Source organism: Homo sapiens, chromosome 2, assembly GCF_000001405.40.
Source record: "Homo sapiens chromosome 2, GRCh38.p14 Primary Assembly".
Taxonomy (NCBI): Eukaryota; Metazoa; Chordata; class Mammalia; order Primates; family Hominidae; genus Homo; species Homo sapiens.
Window position 1 is genome coordinate 95311903 of NC_000002.12, and position 21549 is coordinate 95333451.

Below are 21549 nucleotides of genomic sequence, written 5' to 3' on the forward strand. Positions count from 1 at the left end.
CATGATGAGGTCACTAAAAGCACATGCACATAGCTCGACCGGGAAGGACCGCCTTCAGGGCACTGTTCATTCTGCATCAGAATGAAAATGCGCCTGCTCTCCCTTAGGGTGGGGGCGAGAGCACGGTGGCCATCGCATGTGCTGGCGGCTCAGGTCCACTCTGACGGGCACAGCTTCAGGTCGCTCGAGACTCAGATTTCCTCCACTTCAGTCTTCCAGGGTTTTCTTGGTGGCAACAAGTATTTAAGGGGTGCTGCAGTGGTACCCTCCCTCCATCCCTCAGGTCCTGCAGATGCTCAGCCTCATCCTCCCGTCTCTCTCTGGCAGGCAGAGGTGGCTCAGGACGGGTGGGGCTGGTGTGCATCCTTTGCCGAAGCTTTCTGCACACCCGTGACAGCAGCAGCTATGCTGAGTGGGGTGGACGGGGAGAAAGGTGACAGAGGGGCCGGCATGGCGTGTTCAAGTCAGGGCGGGGGGGACCACCCCTGCACGGCCCACCCCTGCATGCCCCATCCCACCTCACGGAAGCTTCCTAGAGGGCAGGGCCTTTCCACACCCAGCTGTCAGGACACGTTTGCTGAACAACTTGTCAAAGGCGCACAGGAGACAGGGCCAGGGCTGGGCCAGGGCACCAGCGATGGGTTTGTTCCCCTGCATGGATGTGTTTACCGGACCTTGTGCCGGCACTGGGAGCAGATGTGAACGACACATCCAAGAGCCTATTTGATTGTGCAAGGAAGGCAGTGTGGAGCTCATCACCCTGATTTACCAGAGCGTCCATGGCAGCTCAGAGAGGTCACGTGACTCAGCAGATGGCACAAGAAGCGGGGGTTGGGGTGGGGGAGGCTCGGGCCCAGAGCTCCACGGTGCCCACCCTGACGAGCGTCTTTGGTGGGAGCTGAGGGACGAGGGAGCCCAGGGACCTCACGGACAGAGGAGCCGGGACTCCAATGTGCCCTTTGTCTCCCTTGGCCATAGCTCCCGGGTCTCCTCTCTTCAGTCCAAACACGTCCCGTGTGTGTCCCGCAAGGAGGCCGGGCTGGTGTGGTCACACTGAGGGCTTTGTGCACGTGTGAAGTGCTGCGCGGTGTGCAGATGAGGCATCCCCCCTCTTTGGGAGCTGGCACAGGCTCTGGGTGCAAAGAACAATGGGGCCCATTCAGTGCAGCCCCACTGTGTGCTCTGCGAGGCCCAGCACGGTGTCCTGAGCCTTGGGGTCCTGTGGGAGGGGGGCGGCCCAGACACTGTGCCCTTGTACTGGGGTTTTTCCATTCAGCAGAAGTGGGGCCAGAGACACATGTCGGGAACAGCTGGGAGTGAAAGCCAAGGCCCAGCCTGGGAGTCCTGGAGGCTTGGGTGAGGTAGAACGTCGGCAAGGAGTGGACAGGACCCAGGGTCCTGGAGACAGTGGGCAAGGGCTAGAGCATCTGTGGCTGGGCCCTGGGTGGCCAATTCTGGGTGTGAAGACCCCAGGATGGAGTCAGGAGGTGGCCAGCAGTGGGGCCTCTAAGAGGGGAGCCCAGGAGACTCAGAGCACAGGCAGCCTGGCCCCACCCTACCCAGGAGAGGCGCCCCATCCTCAGCCTAGAAGCTCCTTGGACCCTCTTCCATGACCCGGAAGCTGGGACTCTGGCCTGCCCTGCATGCCTCCCCTGCATCTAAAGCCTCTCCCTGCAGGATGCCTCTCCAGAGGCATGGCCAGTGCCACAACTGGACAGACCTGTTTCTCAAGTTTGATGCCCACAAGGGCTGTGGGACTTGGGTTTCTTCAACTGGAATAATAATGTCACCCACAAATAACCTGGGGTCCCAGCTGCAGACAACCGAAACAGGGTGGGCTCCAGGCCTCAGGAAGTTCACAGAAACTCCGGAGGACCAGAGAACGAGGTCTGAATGGGACGAAGCCAGGGCCCCACCTAGCGCCTTGGGAGATGCCTGGCATCCTGGACCACTCTGGCAGGAACGCTCTAGCAGCTGCTGCACGCTTCTGTGTGACACGGTGCAGCCATTCCTCACACACACACACACACATACACACACACACACATACACACACAAGCACACACACATACACACACACATGAGCACACACACACGCATACTTACACACACGCATGCACATGCCCCTCCCCCAGAGAGAAGACCCACATCCTCCTCAGTCGCCGATGCATCCCAGGGAGATGCTCATTCTCCCCGGGGTGCCATGGCAACCCCACGTAAAATCATAAAGACACCACCACCAGTGCTCCTGGGAAAGAGGGGTAGCAGAAAGGCATCGGAACAAAAGGTGAGTTAACTCGTCTCTAATACGTAAAGATCTATAAACAGAATTTTCGCGTATTTGAAGATACAGGATACAATTGACATCATGAAGCATCAAGATACATGATATCAAAGTGAGATGTCAGATCAGTGCAAATTTTCAAGGATTTCTGAGAATTAACCCCTTTCCATGGGGTTGTAGTATGACATCTGTGGCCATCTTTAATCCACCACAAAGATGGATTAAAGATGGATTAAAGCCACAAAGATGTGGCTGAGTCCTTGGTGGAGTGATCCAAACCCCCATTCCTGAGGGATCTGAGTCCTGGGTGGTCCTGCCTCATTGGGGTTGCTAGAAGCCCCCACTGACTTTCATCACTGTAACTGGCAGTGTTGCTAGGCTCCCTGGAGAATTCACTGGATTTGAAGCAGAGTCCTCCCTGCTCCCCTCGATAATAGGGTCATTCACTGGCCGATGGCCCTTGATGCCAGTTGGTCTGAGTGGTGTGAGGGGCCCAGCATGGCCAGGCGGCCGTCCCAGCTTCCAGTTTAGCAGAACCCCTGCTGCCTCCTGCTGGGGACCCATTCTCCCATGGGAATTTAAAGCCTCTAATCCAGAGCCTGGAGTATTGGTGAGGAGCAGCAGAGGTGCGGTGAGCAGGCACTGGATGAGGGAGGGGCCTTTGCGTGTTTTCCCGGGCTCCGGGCTTGTTCTTCTGGCTGGGGGAGAGGCAGCACATCCAGCAGTGTCACTGGCACCCGACAGGGCAGCCCTGGAACCCGCAACGGCTGCCAGAACCAGTCTTCAGCGGGTCTCATCACTGTTCTGTGAGGCCAGCTGCCTCTGGGGGTGGGCACAGGACGGGGACGGGAGCCTGTGAGCCCTGGTCTTTGGTCACACCGCTCTATTCCGTGGTGAAATGAGTCTGTTGCTTGGGATCTATGGCGTGGAGGCACCGTGATGGGGGAGGTGCTGGCAGCACCAGGGCAGGCCAGAGGGAAGGTCACACCCAGAGTGACCATCACTCCCATGAGGATAATGGGAGCCCCAGAGTGATGGCAGGGATGCAGAGTGGCTGACCTGCCACCTGGTGGCTGGCTGGGCACTGAACTGCAGCTGCAGCCTGATCGGCCCAGGGAGAAGTTCTTTTATTGAATCTACGGTGTTTCGTTCTCAAGCAAATGCCAGAGGAGCCAGGAACAGAGGCTGTGAGGTGCACAGAGGGGACCACTGGCCCACCTGATCGTCCAGTGCCTCCTCGGCCCCAGCGCCCCTTGGAGGGCACTTGTGAAGCACTTGCTGTCCCACACTCCGGGTGGTTCCTCCCCAGGCCTCCCAGCCCTTACTCCCCCGATCCTGCCCCTCCACCTCCCTGACCCCTGAACTAATGGTTAACAGCCATCCATGAATCAGTGTAAACCTGTGCCTTCGGCCCTCTCTTCTTCAGACAATGTGGGCAACACATGTACCAGGAAGATGTCCCTTCTCCACGTCCTTCCCCTAGGTGGGCCTCAGTGTCACCTAGAGTTGGGGCCAACATTTCTTGCAGCTCTGTCTATAAGTCACCTCCGAAAGTTTTTCCTCCTCAGACGGCTTCGAGACCGTAGGGGGCGGGTGGGCTGTGGGGAAAGCGGCAATGCAGCAGGTACTGTGGGAGTCGCAGCCCCCGCAGGTACAGCCTCCCTGCGCCCTCCAGACCTGCCCTGCCTCGGGCCCCATCCACAGCACCTGGGCATGACGACAGAGCACTGTGTGCACATGCAGATACCAGTGGGGCTGGGCGAGAGGTTGATACTCGATTGCTGTTGGGTGTTTCGGGGCTCATGGCCACCTACTCTGTCTCTCTGTCTCTGTCTCTCTCACCATCAGGCGCTCCACCCCCACAGCAGCCCAGCAGTGGGAAGTTAGCTGAATGCCAACAGGAGAGATTTTTGGCATTGCTCAAAACCCAAGAGACCACAGATTTCCCCTCTGGGGGCCTGCCATGGCCCCGTAGAGCATTCCAACTTGCCTTAGACTCATCGTGTGTCATTGAATGTTCTGGGTCATTAGGCCCAAGGGGCAGCACTGCTTGTACTTGGCCTGCACCTGCGGAACAGCCTCTGAGCCGCACATTTAACTGTGGTGCACAGGAGGCCCGCCGGGCACCGCACCTTCCTTTACTGGCAGGGGTGCGAGGCGCAGCAGCTCGTCTTTCCCTCTGCAAGGGATCCCTTGGCTTGCCTGAACTTGCATATAACAGAAACCCCAAATAACAGTGGCTTGATCAAGACAGGTGCATCGGCTCCTATATGGGAAACATGGGGTGAGGCGGTGGCTGGCACTAGTTTGGCAGCTGGGGGACGTCAGTGTCAATGTCTTGGGTTCTTCTACCGTTCCCCTCACTGTGGCAATGTGGTTGCTTTGCAGCCCACACAGCCTCATTTCAGGCAACAGGAAGGAGAACCCAGGTGGAAGCGGAGAGTGGTGGTCCCCATGTCAGGAAGGCAGCACTCACAGAAGTCTCTGGAAGACAGATGCTTCCATTCCACTGGCCAGAGATAAGCTGCCCTCACTGCGAGGAAGGCAGGGGAATGGTGGAGTTTTCAGCTGGGCGCATTTCCATCTCCAACAGCATCTGAACCCTGCTGGTGAAACTCAGGAAGAATGAATACAGAACTGGCATTCTCAGCCACATGTGGCTTGCAGGGTTGTTTTGATGACTGAAGGCACTCACTGGCACCCAGAAAGACCTTAGCAAGCTGCCTGGCTGTTATCGCCTTTATTTATTGCTAAGTGCTCAAAAATGTGGAGGGCAGGGGGTTGGTCAGCTCCAGTCATGAATTTGGCTCTCCCTTCTGCTCCTCAGCAGAGGAACCGCTTCCCACTTCCCCTTCTGCATTTTAGAGAGGCACAGCAGGGCTGAGGGATGAGGCCAGTGGATAGAGGTCAGAGGTCAAGAGACAGCCTAAGGCTAGGGCCCTACCTATGCCCCCGTCCTACTCAGGGCCCCTGGCCCTGAGCCTCCTAGGCAGGGGACTGTGTGAGAGCAGGCTGTTCCCTGTCTGGCTGCAGAGAAGCCCTGGGGCCCGGGTGAGGCCCCTCTGCAGTGAGATCACACCCTCAGCTGATAATCACACCAGTGTCACCTCCTCTGTTGGTGCTGGGAGCTCAGGAGTGACGCCCACCCCATCCCCACGCCTCCCAGCCCAGGAAGCCGCAGGGGCCCTTCTGCCTCCAGGAACAGTGAGCTCCGGGGGCCTGGAGGCTGAGGCCAGGCACCAGGTGAAGGGGCCAGCCCTGTGGCAGGGGCAGGGGCTACCTGAGAAGGCAAACCCAAGGCAGGAGGACTGAGTGCACTCTGGCTGCCCCGGGGCTCTGGGCTGAGGGGCAGGCAGTCCCCGGAAAGGCTGGGAGAGCCAGAAGCAGGGACAGAAAGCAGAGGAGAGAAGGACAGGCCCAGAGCGCCCAAGACACTGGGGACAAGCTGAGACCAAGAGGAGAGACGCTGCTTTTGAGAGACAGAGACAGACAGACAGACCAGGAGTGGGGAGTCCTAGAAAAAGAAAGGTGTTGAGTGTCAGGCTGAGGAGAGGCTGGCAGAGGAGGTCAGGGAGCAGGCTTGTGGGGGTACCGCCTGCACAGTGGCAGGCAGGGCAGAGCTGAGGGCAGGAGTCGGGCGGATTAAGCCAGGCCCAAGGATGGCAGGGTGCGGCCCTGGCCCGAGGCTGCAGGAGTGCCAGCATGGCTGTGGGAAGCACCTGGGAGGCATCATCAGCGTCTTCTTCCGCTTCATCTCTGGGAACCTGGCTGGAGGTGAGGGTTGCTTTGGTGGGGCTGGGATGGGGCTACAGAAGGGACAGCTTTGGGCCGGGTCAAGGATTGGGCCTGCCTTATCTGGGGTAGGGGTGACAGGGGGCAGGGGTGGGCAGTGGCCCTGGGAGCAGGACCAGGAAGGACTGCAGTCTTTGCAGCCCACCCCTCCCCACTGTGACCTGGGGACAGTGAATGCCAAGCCTGGGATCCCCCACTCATGGGCCCAGGGAGGGAGAGCAGATGGGGAGCCGCTGGCTTCTCCATGGGGTACACAGACTCAGGACAAGCCTGGGCTGGGAGAGAGTGGGGTGGCTCTCAGGCCAGTCCTCCTCCTGTGCACACTGACTCGACCGCCCAGGCCCTCCCCGTCTCCTTCCCTCACTGGAAACCCTCTCCTCTTCCATCAAAGGCAGAAGTGGTGTCTGTGATGAGGATTAACAAAAATGGGCAGGTGTGTATTAAGACCTCTATACAGAAAGTGCTCAGTTAATGACAGCCACCTCCCAAAACCTATGAAACCTAAGCAACCTGGAGGCCTTGGCAGGGATGTAGGGGACTCCCTGAGTCGGTACTTGTGGGCCCAGGCCTGTGGGGAACCGGGAGGTGGGTGATCCACAGCCAGCCAGTTCCACTCCAGGCTCTCCCTCCTCTGCCTGCACCCGGGGCTGAGCAGGACCAAGACCAAGTCTCGGCCACGGGGCTACGAAGCAGGCACAGGGGTGGTGCCCTGCATGGGGGGACCTGGCATTTGCTGGGAAGGGTTGATATCAGGAGCTTCAGACCCTGAAAGGAGTGAGCATCAGCAGCTTGGAGTGCTGAGCAAGTGCTGTGGGGACGCGGAGGAGAGTAGGCTAAAGAAGTCAAGTGATTTCCAAAGAGAGATAAAATGATGTCCCTAAAACAAAGATGAGCTGGTGTAGACATGTGACATGTACATCCCAGGACCTGGTGCCACAAGCTGCCTATGCTGCCAGAAGATGCTGCCCCCATGCTGAGAGGTCACCTGCAGCCGCCGGCAGGGCTGGGCTGCCACAGCATCTCCAGGGACCAGGGGCTCATCCCCCAATCTTGTCCCTGCCCTGTCCTGAGTGCCTTGCACAGAGCCTGGCACATAAAATACCTGTCAAATTCATGCATGACATTTTGAGAAGCATGCAAATGTAAGATTGAGCATACACTCACGCATCCCCAAACAAGTAGAATAACAGGGGCTTGGAGAGCGGTAGAGCAGCACAGAGTCTGCAGGAGGAAGGCGGACCCTGCTGTGCGGAGGCTGGTGGAGCCGGGGGCTCAGTCTAGCCCCAGGTGGCAAGTTTGGTGGCTCTGAGTGGGGACTCGGAGAGCCCAGGGTTCCTGGGCCTTCCAGTTTTTCAAAAGAGAGGGGAATGCTGTGGCTACATGTGCTGTCCCTTAGCGGTGCCTTAGGCTCCCAAGCCTTCCCTTCCTCAGGAAGTTATTTTGGGGAAGGAGAGAACTTTGAAGACAGTGGACCCTGGGCCGCTTCTCTGTGAGGTGAGACACTGGTGGGCCAGGCCCAGGGGGAGAGGAATGTACCTGAGGTCACTGAGCTGCTGGGCATGACCCTCCAAGCTGGGTGCTCCTCCTTGCTCCTCCTGGCTAGTGACCCCAAGCATCCCTCCTGCCCGCCCTTGGCCTGGCTCCTTATCTTCCCTGGAGGGGCTAGAGCGATAGTGCCTCCTCCGCTGGGTGGCCCAGAGGGCCAGTTTATTGCCATGATGTTGCCATAAGCAAGAGTCCGTATCGTCTGGAGCTCCGGGCGCCTGTGTCATGCCTTTTACCTGCCTCACAGGCTCTTGGGCTCATGGTGCTCCCTCTCTCTCCCTCCGCTGCGCCGTCTGTCTCAGTCCATGTTCCTTGCCTTCCTTAGGGAGAGTGAGACATAAGCCTCGTATTGGATTAGGAGGCCAGGAGGGCTGCTCCCAAGGTGGCCGTTGAGCCCCATCTCAGAACAAGGGAGGGAGGGCAAGAGCGGCAGGTTTGCCTCTGCCCGGGGCCCCAGGTGCCTCTCCTGGCACCGAGGGCTGGGGCTTGCTGGTCCACCTCTGAGTTCCTCCCAGCTCTGGCGATGCCGGTTCTGGGATTCTCAGCCAGCCAGGGAGGTGCTCTCTGGGAGCAGGGGTGAGGAGGCTAGAGCTGGCTGGGTGTGGACCCGGAGGCGCGGCTGAGAATGAGGTGGGTGCTGCTGAAAACACCACTGCCTGCTGCCAAGGTATGGAACCACACGGAGGGAGCCTGAGGCGCTGTGGCCTCTGACCCTCAGTCCACTCGGTGTGGCTGCTCTTCCCTGCCATTTGCATTAAATTTTCTGCAGATCCTGTGGTCACCTTTCAGGTGTCAGCAAGTACTCAGGGAATCCTTTCCAGCCCGGCACCCCTTCTTTGCTTCAGGACTCCCTCCTGCCACTCACGGCAGCCTGGAGGGGTCGGGGAGGAGGAGGCAGGGTGTGGTGGGGTGTGGGCGGGTCCCGGGTCTCTATGCCCTTCCCAGACCTGCCCAAGGCCGCCACCCCTCAGCAGCCCCTGCCACCCCTCGGCCTGTCTCCCAGGTGCTGAGCCTGCCCCTCTCCCGTGGTCTTTCTTGTGGGGAGGATGGGACTTTGAAGATGGATTCCCTGGGAGCATCCCCTCCGGCTCCATGAAGGCCTCTGGGTGGGTGTCCAGTTCACTGTCCTCACCCTGGCGGCCACTGGCCAGTGTAGCCACAGTCACCACCCGACCTCCTCCAGGAGTACGTCAGACCCAACTGGCCCTGCATCCCCCAAACTCCAGGGGACACATTCAGATCACCATGGCCTTCTCAGAAGTCCCTGAATTGGAGGGAGGATGGACTGAAGCTCCCCAGGGTGGGAGAAGGAGGGAAAATGCTCAGCACTCCACCCAGCCTTCCCTAGGCCCTCTCCTCCCCGCCCCCCTCGGCCCCACCCAGCCTCTCCTCCCTGCCCCCCCAGCCTTCCCTAGGCCCTCTCCTCCCCACCCCTCCCCAGCCTCTCCTCCCTGGCATCCCCAGCCTTTCCTAGGCCCTCTCCTCCCTGACCCCCAGCCTCTCCTCCCCACACCCCCAGCCTCTCCTCCCCACACCCCAAGCCTCTCCTCCCTGGCCCTGCCCCCCGAGCCTTCCCTAGGCCCTCCCCTCCCCAGTCCCCCAAGCCTAGGGAAGTCTAGGCCCTTTCCTCCCCGGCACCCCCAGCCTTCCCTACGCCACCCTCTGTGGATGAAGGGGTGGGTCACAGAGCCGGTTTCGCAGCACCTTAGTGTGGCCTGCAGAGCTGGTCCTGTATCTCTCGTGCTGTTCCTGGCTGTTGGGACTTCTCTCAAACTCAACAGGAAAAGTTACATTTAATACCAGATATAAGCATGGAGTTCACGTCAAGAGAGCGTCAGCCCTGTGCTCTGGGTCACTCACCCTATCACAGGGCAGGCGCCCCGGATGGAGCCCCAGAGACAAGTCTGGGGTGCAGTGGAAGAAGGGGGGTCAGGGCTGGGGCTGGGGCACCCGACGGAGGCAGCAGAGACCAGAAGTTACACACAAAATTGGGCACATCTGGCTTGAATTGACACAGCGTCATTCTGACGCACTAAAAATGCCATTCTGCAAATAGACATTGAGTGCGTGTCAAGGTTCTGTTGAACTCCCTAATGAGGGGACTAACGAACGACAGAGCTGATTTAAGAGAAACACGGGGCTCTTTAGAGAGGGTGGGAACAAAAGGCACACAGAGACAGGACTGCTCAGTTAAACAGAAGGGATATGAAACTGAGAAAGACCCAGGTGAGTGAGGCCACTGCCTGCAGGGTTATCTCCTCTGCCAGAGGGAAGAGGAAACCATGGCATCTGTAACTGTGTTACAGGCCTGGAAGACATCGGAGCCCTAATCAATCGTGCAGCTTAGTTCTGCCCCTCCGAGAGTCAGATCCCCTGACCGCCATGCTAGACAGTGCCTGGTGGGACCTCAAAGGCCACTCAATTCTCCTCAGGCCACGTTTCCACTACTCTTAAGCATCTCATCTCTGCCACTCATAGCTCTGTGTGAAGCAAATTGCTTCTAACCTCTCTGAGCCTCAGTTTCCTCATCTGCAAAATGGCCATAAGAATAATGAGGTTGGCAAGGCCTAGTGGCTCATGCCTGTAATCCCAGCACTTTGGGAGGTCGAGGTGGGCAGATTGCTTGAGCCCAGGAGTTCGAGACCAGCTTGGGCACACAGTGAGATCCAATCTCTACAAAAAATACAAAAATTAGCCGGACATGGTGACACACACCTGTGGTCCTAGCTACTTGCAGGGAACATGGGCAGATCGCTTGAACCCGGGAGGTCAAGGCTGCAGTGAGCTGTGTTTGTGCCACTGCACTCCAGCCTGGGTAACAGAGTGAGATCCTGCCTCAAAGAAAAAAATAAAAAAGAATGAGGTCACTGTAGAGGGTTGTCAGAGGCACGTGAAAAGCCCTGTCCCCGTGGGACAGCCTGCTGCCCTCCCCACCTTGCTGTGACCCTGGACAAGTTGCTGGGTCTCTATGCATCTCAGTCTCCTCATCCATCAAATGCGCACAGTGGAGAGTGGTTTTAAGGATTCTATCAGTGTCCATAAAGGGCCAAAGCAGTGCTGCCCCTGGCCACAAGGGCAGGGCTGGTGATAGTTGGACTGGTTTCAAGGCCCTGAGTTGGGGCCTCGGTTTTCTTGTCTGTGAAGTGAAGGCTGGAGAGAAGGATTTTCAAGGTCTAGACCAGATGTCTATCCCGTGATTTCTCCCCACCCCGCTTATCCCGGCACAGGGGCCAGGGAGCCTGGGGTGTGCTTGCGGCTCCTGTTCACGGGACGGGGCCTGCCTTCAAAACACCACCCAACCCCAGCCCTTGGCAGCTCTCCCTGGCGCTTCTGAGTACTGCGAGGCCCTGTGCCCCTCTGCTCAGAGCACTCCTCAAACACTTCCCCAGGGCCTTGCCAATGAGGCAGAGTTCATTAAGAGCCACCGCGAGCAGGTCCATGCTCTTCTTTACCCAGGAATTTGGGATTCTCAAGGAAGAATGGGCTGCTGTGGTCCTGGCCCCCGCTCTGGCCTCCACCCACCCAGCCTCCCCCATTGCCTGCCTCCTAACGGCCAAATAGAACATGTAGGAGGGGGGTGAACAGGAACACTATGGGAGGGTCAGCGGAAGGACGTGATGACTGGCGAGATGGGCAGGGCAGCCTCCAGAAAGGTGCAGAGCCACCTGCCCAGGCACAGGGCCGTTTGGCCCCATGGCCACCTTCCTGGCACCAGGTCCCTCCCCAGTATGCTGGGCATGTGGGGCCCACATCCCTGCCCTCTGGGGTGCAGGAGGTTGGGAGTTTTTTGGGAAGGTGGGGAGAGGAGACAGGAGCAGCTTTCAGATGCTCTGGGGTGGGAGGAAACGTCTCTGTGTGCTTAGAGCTACTCAAGGAAAAGGCAGAACTGCGGTGGCAGAGAGGGCAGTCAGTGCTCTGGGCTCCGTGGCACAATCTTCCAGGCTGGAGCCCGCAGGCCTGGCCACCCCTCCAGGAAAGGGCCCCTCCCTGCGGGTGCAGGAGTGCTCTCTGCAGGCATTCCCTCCTCTTCCACCAGGGGGTAGCAGGTGCCAACGCGTCCGCCTCCCTGGACCATTTCACTCCTTCAAGTCACTGGCTCCACCGCGTTTTCTGTTCCCACCCCGTCACAACTTTGGGGCTTAAAGGCACCAGGATCTGGCATCCCCGGGATGCCACCTGTCTTCCAGGATGTGTCCTGGCTCCCGATGCCCCAAGCTAAGCCCCGGACAGGCTGGGAACCTCTCCCTAGCAGCCCCTGCCCTGGTCCCTAGGGCCCCGCAGGCCTTGGGGTGGCAGTGGCCTTGTCCCATGTCATCCCAGAGGCCTCGGGAGGCAGATGGTTTTGTCTAGGAAGACCTGTCCTCCTGTATGGATGAGGGGCCAGCTCCTGAGGGCAGGGGAGGGGAGGGCTGCCAGGGCCACGTGCAGGGCTTCTGACTGCAGGTGCCTCATCCACACTCCGGGCCTGCACCTGATGGGGCGGGGAGGCAGAGGGAGCCCGCGGCCACTGCCTTGGAATCCCCACCCACGCAGATAGACCGGGGCTCCCCACCTCCCCTCCGTGGGCTGGCGGGGCCTCTGTGGGGAATGAGGAGAGATGGGCGCTGGGCTGACTTAGTCAGTGAACTAAACGGATTCCCTGACACAGATTCAGGTTTTCATTCTTGTTTGAAATAATGCTCAGAAGTTTTTCTTAATAACGTGAGGGCCGGGCGCGGTGGCTCACGCCTGTAATCCCAGCACTTTGGGAGGCCGAGGCAGGCGGATCACGAGGTCAGGAGATCGAGACCATCCTGGCTAACACGGTGAAACCCCGTCTCTACTAAAAAATACCAAAAAAATTAGCTGGGCGTGGTGGCGGGCGCCTGTAGTCACAGCTACTCCAGAGGCTGAGGCAGGAGAATGGCGTGGGCCCAGGAGGCGGAGCTTGCAGTAAGCGAGATTGCGCCACTGCACTCCAGCTTGGGCGACAGAGCGAGACTCCGTCTCAAAATAAATAGATAAATAAATAAATAAATAAATAAATAAATAAAAATAACGTGAGTAGTTTTTTAAAAAACATTTTTTTCATGCCCTTGCTTTGCAAAATAAAAAAAATGACAGTTTTGGCCTGGCATGGTGGCTCACGCCTGTAATCCCAGCACTTTGGGAGGCCAAGGTGGGCGAATCACAAGGTCAGGAGTTCGAGACCAGCCTGGCCAATATGGTGAAACCCCGTCTCTACTAAAAACACAAAAGTTAGCCTGGCGTAGTGGCGGGCGCCTGTAGTCCCAGCTACTCGGGAGGTTGAGGCAGAAGAATGGCTTGAACCTGGGAGGCTGAGGTTGCAATGAGCTGAGATGGCGCCACTGCACTCCAGCCTGGGTGACAGAGTGAGACTCTGTCTCAAAAACAAGACAAAACAAAAGACAGTTTTATGATCTCTTCCAATTTGGGAGGAAATGCAAAAAGCCCAGGACCACGGTGACAAACCCCTGGCTGGCTGAGGCTGGGCTGGGAGGTAGAAGGGGGGCTCCAGTCCCTTGCTGGCTGAGCGACAGGCAGAGGACAGGGACAGCGTGAGGAGGGAAGTGTACTGGCTGGGCCCCTGCCAGCCTTTGGAGCAAGGTGCAGCCACGCTGGTGGGGTCCACAGGCCTGGACCCCAACTCGGGTGGCTGAGAGCTGGCCCTCCCAGAGAGGGAAGGGCTTGGGCTTGGGCCTGGGCCTGAGCATTGACCGGAATCCTGGGACTGGAGTGGGGCCTGGCGGAGACGGTGCAGGAGCTCACCTGAGCAGCGGGGAGGCTGTGGCAGGGAGTGCTGGCCGCAGCTCAGCCCAGCAGGAGGGCGGGTGCGGAAACCTGTGCCCGCCTCTGAGCCTAAGAAAGAACACAAGAGGACAGTCAGGGGACGTCCCAGCAGCTTGGGGTCTGGCTGAAAGCTGGGTATCCCGTGAGGAGGGTCCTGGCCAGGCAGGAGGTTCAGGGGGCCAAGGCAGCCATTGTCCCCTACCCCCAAAACAGGTGTCCTGGAGCGAGGCAAGATGCCCAGAGCAGGGGGCAGGTCAGGGCACATGCACGCACACACGCACTCACACACTCATACACACGTACACACACACACTCACACACACACACGCATACACACAAATAGATACACACTCATACACATACACACTCATACACATACACACTCATACATACACACAGTCATACACTTATACACATACACACTCATACACACGCACTCATACACACATACACACTCATATACACACACTCATACACACTCATACACACATACACTCATACACACATACACATACACTCATACACACTCATACACACATACACTCACAGGCACACATACACTCAGACATACACACACTCATAGACACACATTCACTCATACACATACACACTCATACACATACACATACACACTCACACATACACACACTCATAGGCACACATACACTCCTACACACTCACACACACTCAGACACACACATACACATTCACTCATACACACATACACTCATATACACACACACATACACATTCACTCATACTAACACACTCATATACACATACACACATATACACATACACATACACGCACACTTATAAAGTCAGACACACATACACTTATATACGCACTCATATACACATATACACAGTCATACACACATACACGCACTCATATACACACACACTCATACACATACACATACACACACACAACACTCACACATACACTCACACATACACTCACTACACATACACACTCATTACACACATACACATACACACACACGTGTAAACACATATACTCACATGTGCACACATAAACACACACCCCAGTACACACTCACACTCACATACACATACATGCACACACACGTTCACACACTGCACTCGGGAGGGCCAAGAACAGCATCACGCCAGGCTCTGGGAGGGCAGCGGCTCCCAAATTCTTAGCGCCCAACATGGCCTACAGGACCTGTGTAACTGGACCGGCCTGCCGGCCCTGTTCTCAAATGGGAAGCCCTACAGGACACCCCCTGCTGCACTGCGGCTGTGCTTGTGAATGGCGGTGGGAACGCCCATGGTGGGGGTTGCTCTTGACTCTTTTCCTTGTTCCCCGGTCTCCCCAGAGGACAGGCCTCCTCTGGCCACCTGGCCCAGGGGCAGCTTCAGAAATGTAAATTGGAGTCTGCCACTCTCCTGCCCAAACCCTGATTTCCGTTGGTCCTCGAATAAATTCCAAATGCACCTCGGCCTACAGGGCCCCGTGGGACCTGGCTCTGCCCACATGGCTGAGCCCCTTGGCCCCAGTAGGCCTCCGCCTGGAACTCCCCTCGCCCTGCCCTTCCTCGGCAGGGCACTCATGCGTGGGGCCCTCGCTGCCCCCAGCACCCGCACCTCATGGCCGCTCTCCTCAGCAGGCCTCGGTTTACGGGTCGCCTCCTCAGAAGACTTGCTCCCTCTTATCACCACAGTGCTCGGCACGTGCCGGCTGCCCAGTCAGATTGCACGGGACAAGTCACTCTCTTGCCGGAGGACTGAAGGCTGACTGTTCACTAGACCTAGACTGTGCCACGTCTACGGAACAAGGAAGGCTTGAGTAGGTCACCACCTAGCTCCATTCTAGGAACCCTAGGTCAACTGGCCGACTCCCAAGGTCTCTGCGAGTCCTGATGATGGTGCCTTACACTAACCATGCCCACCTTGTCTGTAGTGAGTGGCATCACTTGCCCCTAGTTCCCATCCCCAGGACCTCATTGTCCCCTTGCACTTAGGGATCCCAGCTCAGTGGCTGAGGCCACCCTACCTGCTTTTTAAGAACCCTGGATGTGCACTCACACACATTCACACACACGCACACATACACACACTCTCACATACGCTTACACTCACACATGCACACACGTACACACCCACACACGCACAGTCACCATGCACACTCACACTCTCTGTCACACTTACATGCACCGGAAGCAGTGGCTGTTGTTTTCATTTGTAGCCACAGTTGATGTGGCTTCTGAGCACCTCCTGGGGCCAGAGCAAGGGGATGTCCACTGTGAGGAGGGATCTGGAGTGGCAGGACACCTTCTCTGTCTTGGGCAGGTGCTGGTGCCCACACCTGTGCCCTCAGCTAGTCTTCATGCTAATCCTGCAGGGGGCGTCACCATCGCCCCCATCTTCCAGGGGAAGAGCTTGAGGCTGAGAGAGGGAATGGTTTGTCCATCCATCTGTTTGTCCATCTATCCGTCCAACACACAGCATGAGGCACCCTAGAGGCTACACGCAGCAGGACTCAGCCCAGCTGGGAGGGAAGAAGGAGCCAGGGAAGCCTTCCCCTCTGCCTCCCACCTTGCAGGTCCCCTTCCAATCTCACCCCAAACACTCACCCCAAACTTCCATGCTAAACTTGCCGTAGAATCTGCTGTGGTTGGGTTGTCGGGGACAGACCTGACCTGGGGAGATTTGCAGACCTGCTGCCAGCCTGTACTGGAAAGAGCTGGGGCTCCGTGGCCCCCACACCCTCTCAGGGGAAGAGAGCAGGGGCAAGGGCCCGTGTGCAGTTTATCTCAGCCTCACCCCATGGGGACTTCACCATGAGGATCTCACACACGCAAGCCTGCACCACCCCCAGCCCCCACCAGCTTCCCCAGGACTGGGAAAATGGGCCAAACATGATGGCACACTCTCCCCCCTCCCCCGGCCCCTCTGGCCTTCATCGTAGACCTTCTGAGCTCTCATGGCACCAATGAGGAAACTGAGGACTGGAGAAAGAATGTGAGCTGTCTGAGGTCGTTTAGGTCTAACTCCCAGAGCAGTGCTGCTGCTGCTCCACACACTGTCTGAGCCACAGTATCCCGCTTGGGAAATGTGAGGCCCACTCAGAGAGGCTGTGGGCTCTGTCTGAGCGCCTGGAGGAGAGCGGTGGGGAGGGCAGTGGGCAGCTGAGCTGTTTCCAAGCACTGATCTCACAAAGGAAGTGGTGAATCTGGGGAGGGTGGGCTGGACGCCGCTGCGTGCCTGCTTAGGTGCGTGTACCCATGTGTGTGGCACATGCATGTGTGTGCACACTCCTGTGTGTGTGAGCGTGCTCACCGCCTTCAGGTCGTCTGTGACTGCCGTCCCTGTGTGCTGGGGAGGGGCTCGGGTGCTATTCTTAGGGCAGCATTCTCAGTCTACAGTCAGATCTGCTAACTGACCGCCAGGGAGCCTGGCCTGAGCAGGCATTGCTCCCCAGTACCAGACTCTTGGGGTGGGGAAGAGTGTGCCCCAGCACACACCTTGGAGGAAGAAACACAGGTCAGATGTCTTTCAGTTCTAGCTGCCTCCGAGCTCTGGCCTTTGCTGGGCCTTAGCTATGCCCTCAGGAATGCAGGCTGCTGGCTGGGGCCAGGGACTCCTCTCAGTGACCCATGGAAGGAAGAGGGGAGCTGCAGAGGAGGGGAGGGCAGAGAATGGATGGGTCTCAGTGTAGCCCAGCGGTTCCTAGGAAAGGTGGGATGGCTTGGACTGCAGAGACCTTGGGCAAGTCACCATGCCTCTCTTGGCCTCCACTTCCTCATCTTTAACATGGGCTGTGATGAGAGAAGAAATTGTCTCTTTGGGTTACTTCGAGGATTAAATAGAACACGGCGATTAGCCCAGGAGTACTCCGTGCACAGTAAGTGCCTAGTTAGTGCTGTGGCTCCCAGCGCGGGCCAAGCCTCAGAGTGGCCCTACAACCTTCTTATCCCATAGCACTCCTATGGAGAACATCCCACTTTCTAGAGTAAGCTGATCCTGTACTTCGACTAAGCCAAAGGTCTGGGGTAAGAGCAGAGGCCCATGCATCTCCCTTGATACCTGCCCTCCACCTCTGGACCACCAGGCCCCAGGCCAACAGGACTGGCATTCGCTGGGCACTGGCCACCCTGGACACTGCACTGGGCTTGCTCACATGCCCTGACATGGGCATCACTAGCCCATCCTACAGGGGGGTTAAGCAGCCTGTCTGGTGTGATCAAGCTGGTAGGGCCCCCCTGTATCTGACTCCAGACCCCGTGCCCTGAGGGCACCTGCACCGCTGGGGCTCCATCACCGCTGGTCTCACACAGTGCTGGCCTGGCTGCCGGGAGTGGGGGGACCCGGGAGCAGGCTGAAGCTGTGCCCTCTGGCTGGCCTGACGGGGGTCTGCTGGGCATGGACCCCTGCGTCAGGTTTGTGGCTGGCGTGCACGTTCCCAATTAAGCCGAGTAAATATTTACAGCCATTACGGCCATTGATCGCCTTCGATCCTGGGTGCTGCTGTGAGATGCCCCTGCTTACTCATGCTTTCTTAAAAACAGCTCTTCCCTGCGCGTCTTTAATAATTCAACTCCTAATTGTCTCCAAACGCAAACCTGAAAATGCCAACTCAGGGCCTTCGCCCCCGCTCTGGTCCCCCTCTCGTCCCCTCTGCCGGAGGCCCCTCTCCCCATTTCTGCTGCAGATCCTGGCCTCCCTGCCCTGCCTCTGACCACTTCTAGGAGGGACTCAGGACGTCCCTCACCTCCGGCCGCAGCCACCGCCAGCTGCCGCAGCAGAAGTGAGCTGGGAGTAATTGAGTTGCAGGGCTGGGGTGAGAAGAGGCAGGAGCAGGAAGGTCTGGCCGCGGCTCCCCAGGGTGCCCTGAAGTGATACTGGGCAGGGAGGGGCAGGGACCTGGGGCATCTCGAGGTGACAGGGGAGGCTGATTCTGAATGGGTCCCTGGACAGGCCTCAGCCCAGACCTCCCCTGCCAAGGGCTGGGGGTGGAGGTGAAGCCAAATCAATATTTATAGCATCTCCTGGGCACCAGGTCTCCTGGCTGGGGCTGCTCCCCAGTGGCCTCTGAGGGCCATCCCATATGGGGTGGAGTCTAGGGGACTGCGTTGTGTCCCAGCCCTGCTCTCAGGGCAGGGTGACCAGGCGCTCCCAAGAGCTCCACTACCAACTTCACTTGCCTCTCCCTCGAGGCCCAGTCCGGGTCACACATTGGTGCTAAGGGAGACTCACCCGTCCGTACCCCCCAGGGCAGCTGCCCAGTGTAAAACTCTCACAGCCAGACAAACACCACAAGGGGCGTGAGAGGACAGGCACACAGTCACTAGAACTGCAGCTGGCCTGGAGCCAGTGGCCACCGATGCAGAGGGCCCTTTCAGCCAGGGTGCCGGGGCTGTGGCTCCCAATCCCAGTTCACTGGGCTGGCACTGATCCCTCCTCTGCTCTCTGGTCTGAGAACATCCCATTGTGAAGCCGTGGGTCTCCTTGCCTCCTCTGGCAGGCAATGTCCCAGGCTCTGGGGACACAGCAGGGAACCAGACAGAATAAAAACCCCTAGAGCTTATAGGCTATAAAATGAGATTGATGAGTAAACGATATATTGCAAGGGAATAGGGCTGCAGAAATTACCTAGGACTGGGAAGAAGGGAGGGGTGCCTAGGGCAGGGCCTGCAGGGCACATGGCGTTCAAATACAGATCCGAGGGGTGAGGGAGAGTGAAAGGGAAGCTGTCCAGGCAGGCAGAGGGGCAGCAAGGGCCAGAGCTCAGGGTGAGGTGAGCTGGCAGGAGAGGCCCCTCCTGCTGATGAGGGGTGGAGGCTGAGCCCGAGGGGTAGGCGAGGGAGTGGCAGGGATTTGTGGCTGTCCAGGGTGGCAGCGGAGGCGGGAGGGAGCAGCGGTACATTTGGAGGCACTCTGAAGATGGGACCGAAAGGATTTGCAGATGTCCTGGGTGTCTGTTGCGTGAGAACGAGAGGAGTCAGGCCAAGGCTTTTGTCCTGAGCTGCTGGAAGAACCAAGCTGTTATTCACTGTGGTGGGAAAAACAGAAGCTGGCCTGGCGTGAGGGGAGGAGGGGGCTTGGTGGTAGCATTTCAAGTCTGAGACATCTAAAGAGATCCTAGCAGAGGCTTCAAGGAGGCAGGTGGGATCTGCAAGGGTTGGAAGTGGAGGGATACATTTGGGGGTCATCAGCACATAGACGGATTTGAAGCCAAAAGACCGAGCAGAAGAGGCCCAGGACTGAGCCAGTCGTGCACGCTGATGTCTAAAGGCCTCCTTGCTCCCGCTGCCTGCGCCCATCCTCAGAGCTTGGCTTGGACATTTGCAGAAGGCTGCTATTGTTTCTTCTGTTCAGAAAGACACCTATCCACATTCCAAAGAGCGCCCCACATCCTGTTCTGCCATCGGTAGCCACGAGGGCTCCCAGCTTCTTACCCGATCCAGCTGGCCAGTCACGACAGGAATACCCACTGGCCAGGGCAGGTGCCCGACCCAGGCTGGGCCAAGGAGATCCCTTCTCAGATATTTTGACAGTGGGAGGCCCTGTGACTGGGATGCAGAGGCTGTGACATGCAGGCCTGGGCAACTTCTTGTAGCCAACCATGAAGCCACATGGAAGAAGCCACTTGAGTAGGGACGCTGACATGCAGCGTCTGCATGTGAGAGGTGAAGGACACGGTGTGAGCGGACTTTTCTGGTCATCCCCGCCCCGTTCTCTTCCAGTGGTTTGGTTTAAGGGCTAACAGGTCCCTTTGACTGAGCAAGTTCACTCAAGTTAGCCTTAATACAGCATCTCAGCATTCAGACAGAGAGAGGAGGCACAGGCCAAGGAATCCAGGGGCCCAGGAGCACAGGCAAAAGGCCGGTCCTCCTGAGCCCTCAACCAGACTGCACAGAGCCAGGCGAGAACATGCATGTGACACACAAATGGCCCTGGCGCTCTGGGGCAGATGCGTACCAACAGGAGAACGTATTGATGATCTGATTTTATTCTGAGTCAACTGTTTTAAGGTTTATATAAGTCTGGCCCGCCTTGGTGGCTCATGCCTATAATACCAGCACTTTGGGAGGCTGAGGCGGGTGGATGACCTGAGGTCAGGAGTTCAAGACCAGCCTGGCCAACATGGCGGAACGCCATCTCTTATTTTGAAAATATCAAAAAGAACTTAAAAGTCATGGAGGAGAGTTCAGCATGCTCATCTTTCATCTAAAAGGAGTCCCAGAAAACAGGTGAGGGGACGGAGAGGAGGAGGTGTTCCTTAATATTAAAGAGAACAAATGTAAGCATTATTTCATTTCGTCTTCAAGTGTGGGCCATGGGATATTAATATGTGTCATGTGGAAAGGTATTTTGTGGGCAAACACATTTGGGGAGTACTAGTCATATGAGGCTACACAAATTCTTTCACTACAGAACTTCTCAGAACCTTTACTATACACCCTTTATATTTTCAAGACAACATGGGGGTGGTGAAGAGCCCTGGCTTTGGAATCTCAGACCTGGGTTCTCAAGCCTTCCCTGCCTCTTTTTGTCTCTGTGTTTGGGAAGACCTTTTGTCCCTCTGGGCCTCAATTTTCTCATCTGTTAAATGGGAATCACAATTACATCCTTGGGGGTCTTCCAGACTTAGGGACAAAGGGACAAGACAAATGTGAAGATGCTTAATAAAATGTAAAGTTATGTGAATGTGAAATGCCCTGTCTCGCGTGAGTTCTGTGACAGCCTCTGCTGGGCCTCACTTGTCTCACCTGTGAAATGGGAGTTGGGGTAAAATCACTGTAGCTCCCCTACTCTGCATGCAGTCACGCTGCAGCTAGAGTGGTTGTTATAGAGAAAACAAAAACCAAACGAATGCTCCCTTGCTCTGAGGATAAATCCCCGGCCACAGACTTGGCCATGCCCTTATAACTGTTTGACTATCTGCCTGCACCTCTAGAGTGTAAGCTCCTTGAGGCCAGGGCCGCAGCTGCAGCATGTAGTGCCACATCTGGCAGGCACAGAGTCGACTTGGGAAGTATTTGTCAAATGAGTAAATGCATGAACCTAGGCCTCTTCTAACTCTGAAATCTTACATCCCTCCGGATTGAGAAAAGAATCAAAAGCCATTCTACCACTACTGCTGCGGGAAACAGACTGCCCTGGAC

The 21549-nt window shown here is 57.3% G+C and overlaps 1 protein-coding gene across 1 annotated transcript in view, besides 5 other annotated features; it reads left to right on the forward strand.

The window, feature by feature from the left end:
* KCNIP3 (potassium voltage-gated channel interacting protein 3) overlaps positions 1 to 21549 on the forward strand; it is an 88731-nt gene that overhangs the window by 14556 nt on the left and 52626 nt on the right. The gene's annotated exons all lie outside the window — the stretch shown is intronic.
* Positions 3836 to 4336: an enhancer, noted in NCBI's record as "H3K4me1 hESC enhancer chr2:95981486-95981986 (GRCh37/hg19 assembly coordinates)". NCBI's record gives its function as "activates a minimal SCP1, AML or CMV promoter by ChIP-STARR-seq in naive H9 embryonic stem cells {active_cell/tissue: H9 hESC(naive)}" and the evidence as "EXISTENCE:reporter gene assay evidence [ECO:0000049][PMID:30033119]".
* Positions 6729 to 7230: an enhancer, noted in NCBI's record as "H3K4me1 hESC enhancer chr2:95984379-95984880 (GRCh37/hg19 assembly coordinates)". NCBI's record gives its function as "activates a minimal SCP1, AML or CMV promoter by ChIP-STARR-seq in naive and primed H9 embryonic stem cells {active_cell/tissue: H9 hESC(naive and primed)}" and the evidence as "EXISTENCE:reporter gene assay evidence [ECO:0000049][PMID:30033119]".
* Positions 14873 to 15440: an enhancer, noted in NCBI's record as "H3K4me1 hESC enhancer chr2:95992523-95993090 (GRCh37/hg19 assembly coordinates)". NCBI's record gives its function as "activates a minimal SCP1, AML or CMV promoter by ChIP-STARR-seq in naive H9 embryonic stem cells {active_cell/tissue: H9 hESC(naive)}" and the evidence as "EXISTENCE:reporter gene assay evidence [ECO:0000049][PMID:30033119]".
* Positions 18639 to 19140: an enhancer, noted in NCBI's record as "H3K4me1 hESC enhancer chr2:95996289-95996790 (GRCh37/hg19 assembly coordinates)". NCBI's record gives its function as "activates a minimal SCP1, AML or CMV promoter by ChIP-STARR-seq in naive H9 embryonic stem cells {active_cell/tissue: H9 hESC(naive)}" and the evidence as "EXISTENCE:reporter gene assay evidence [ECO:0000049][PMID:30033119]".
* Positions 19141 to 19640: an enhancer, noted in NCBI's record as "H3K4me1 hESC enhancer chr2:95996791-95997290 (GRCh37/hg19 assembly coordinates)". NCBI's record gives its function as "activates a minimal SCP1, AML or CMV promoter by ChIP-STARR-seq in naive H9 embryonic stem cells {active_cell/tissue: H9 hESC(naive)}" and the evidence as "EXISTENCE:reporter gene assay evidence [ECO:0000049][PMID:30033119]".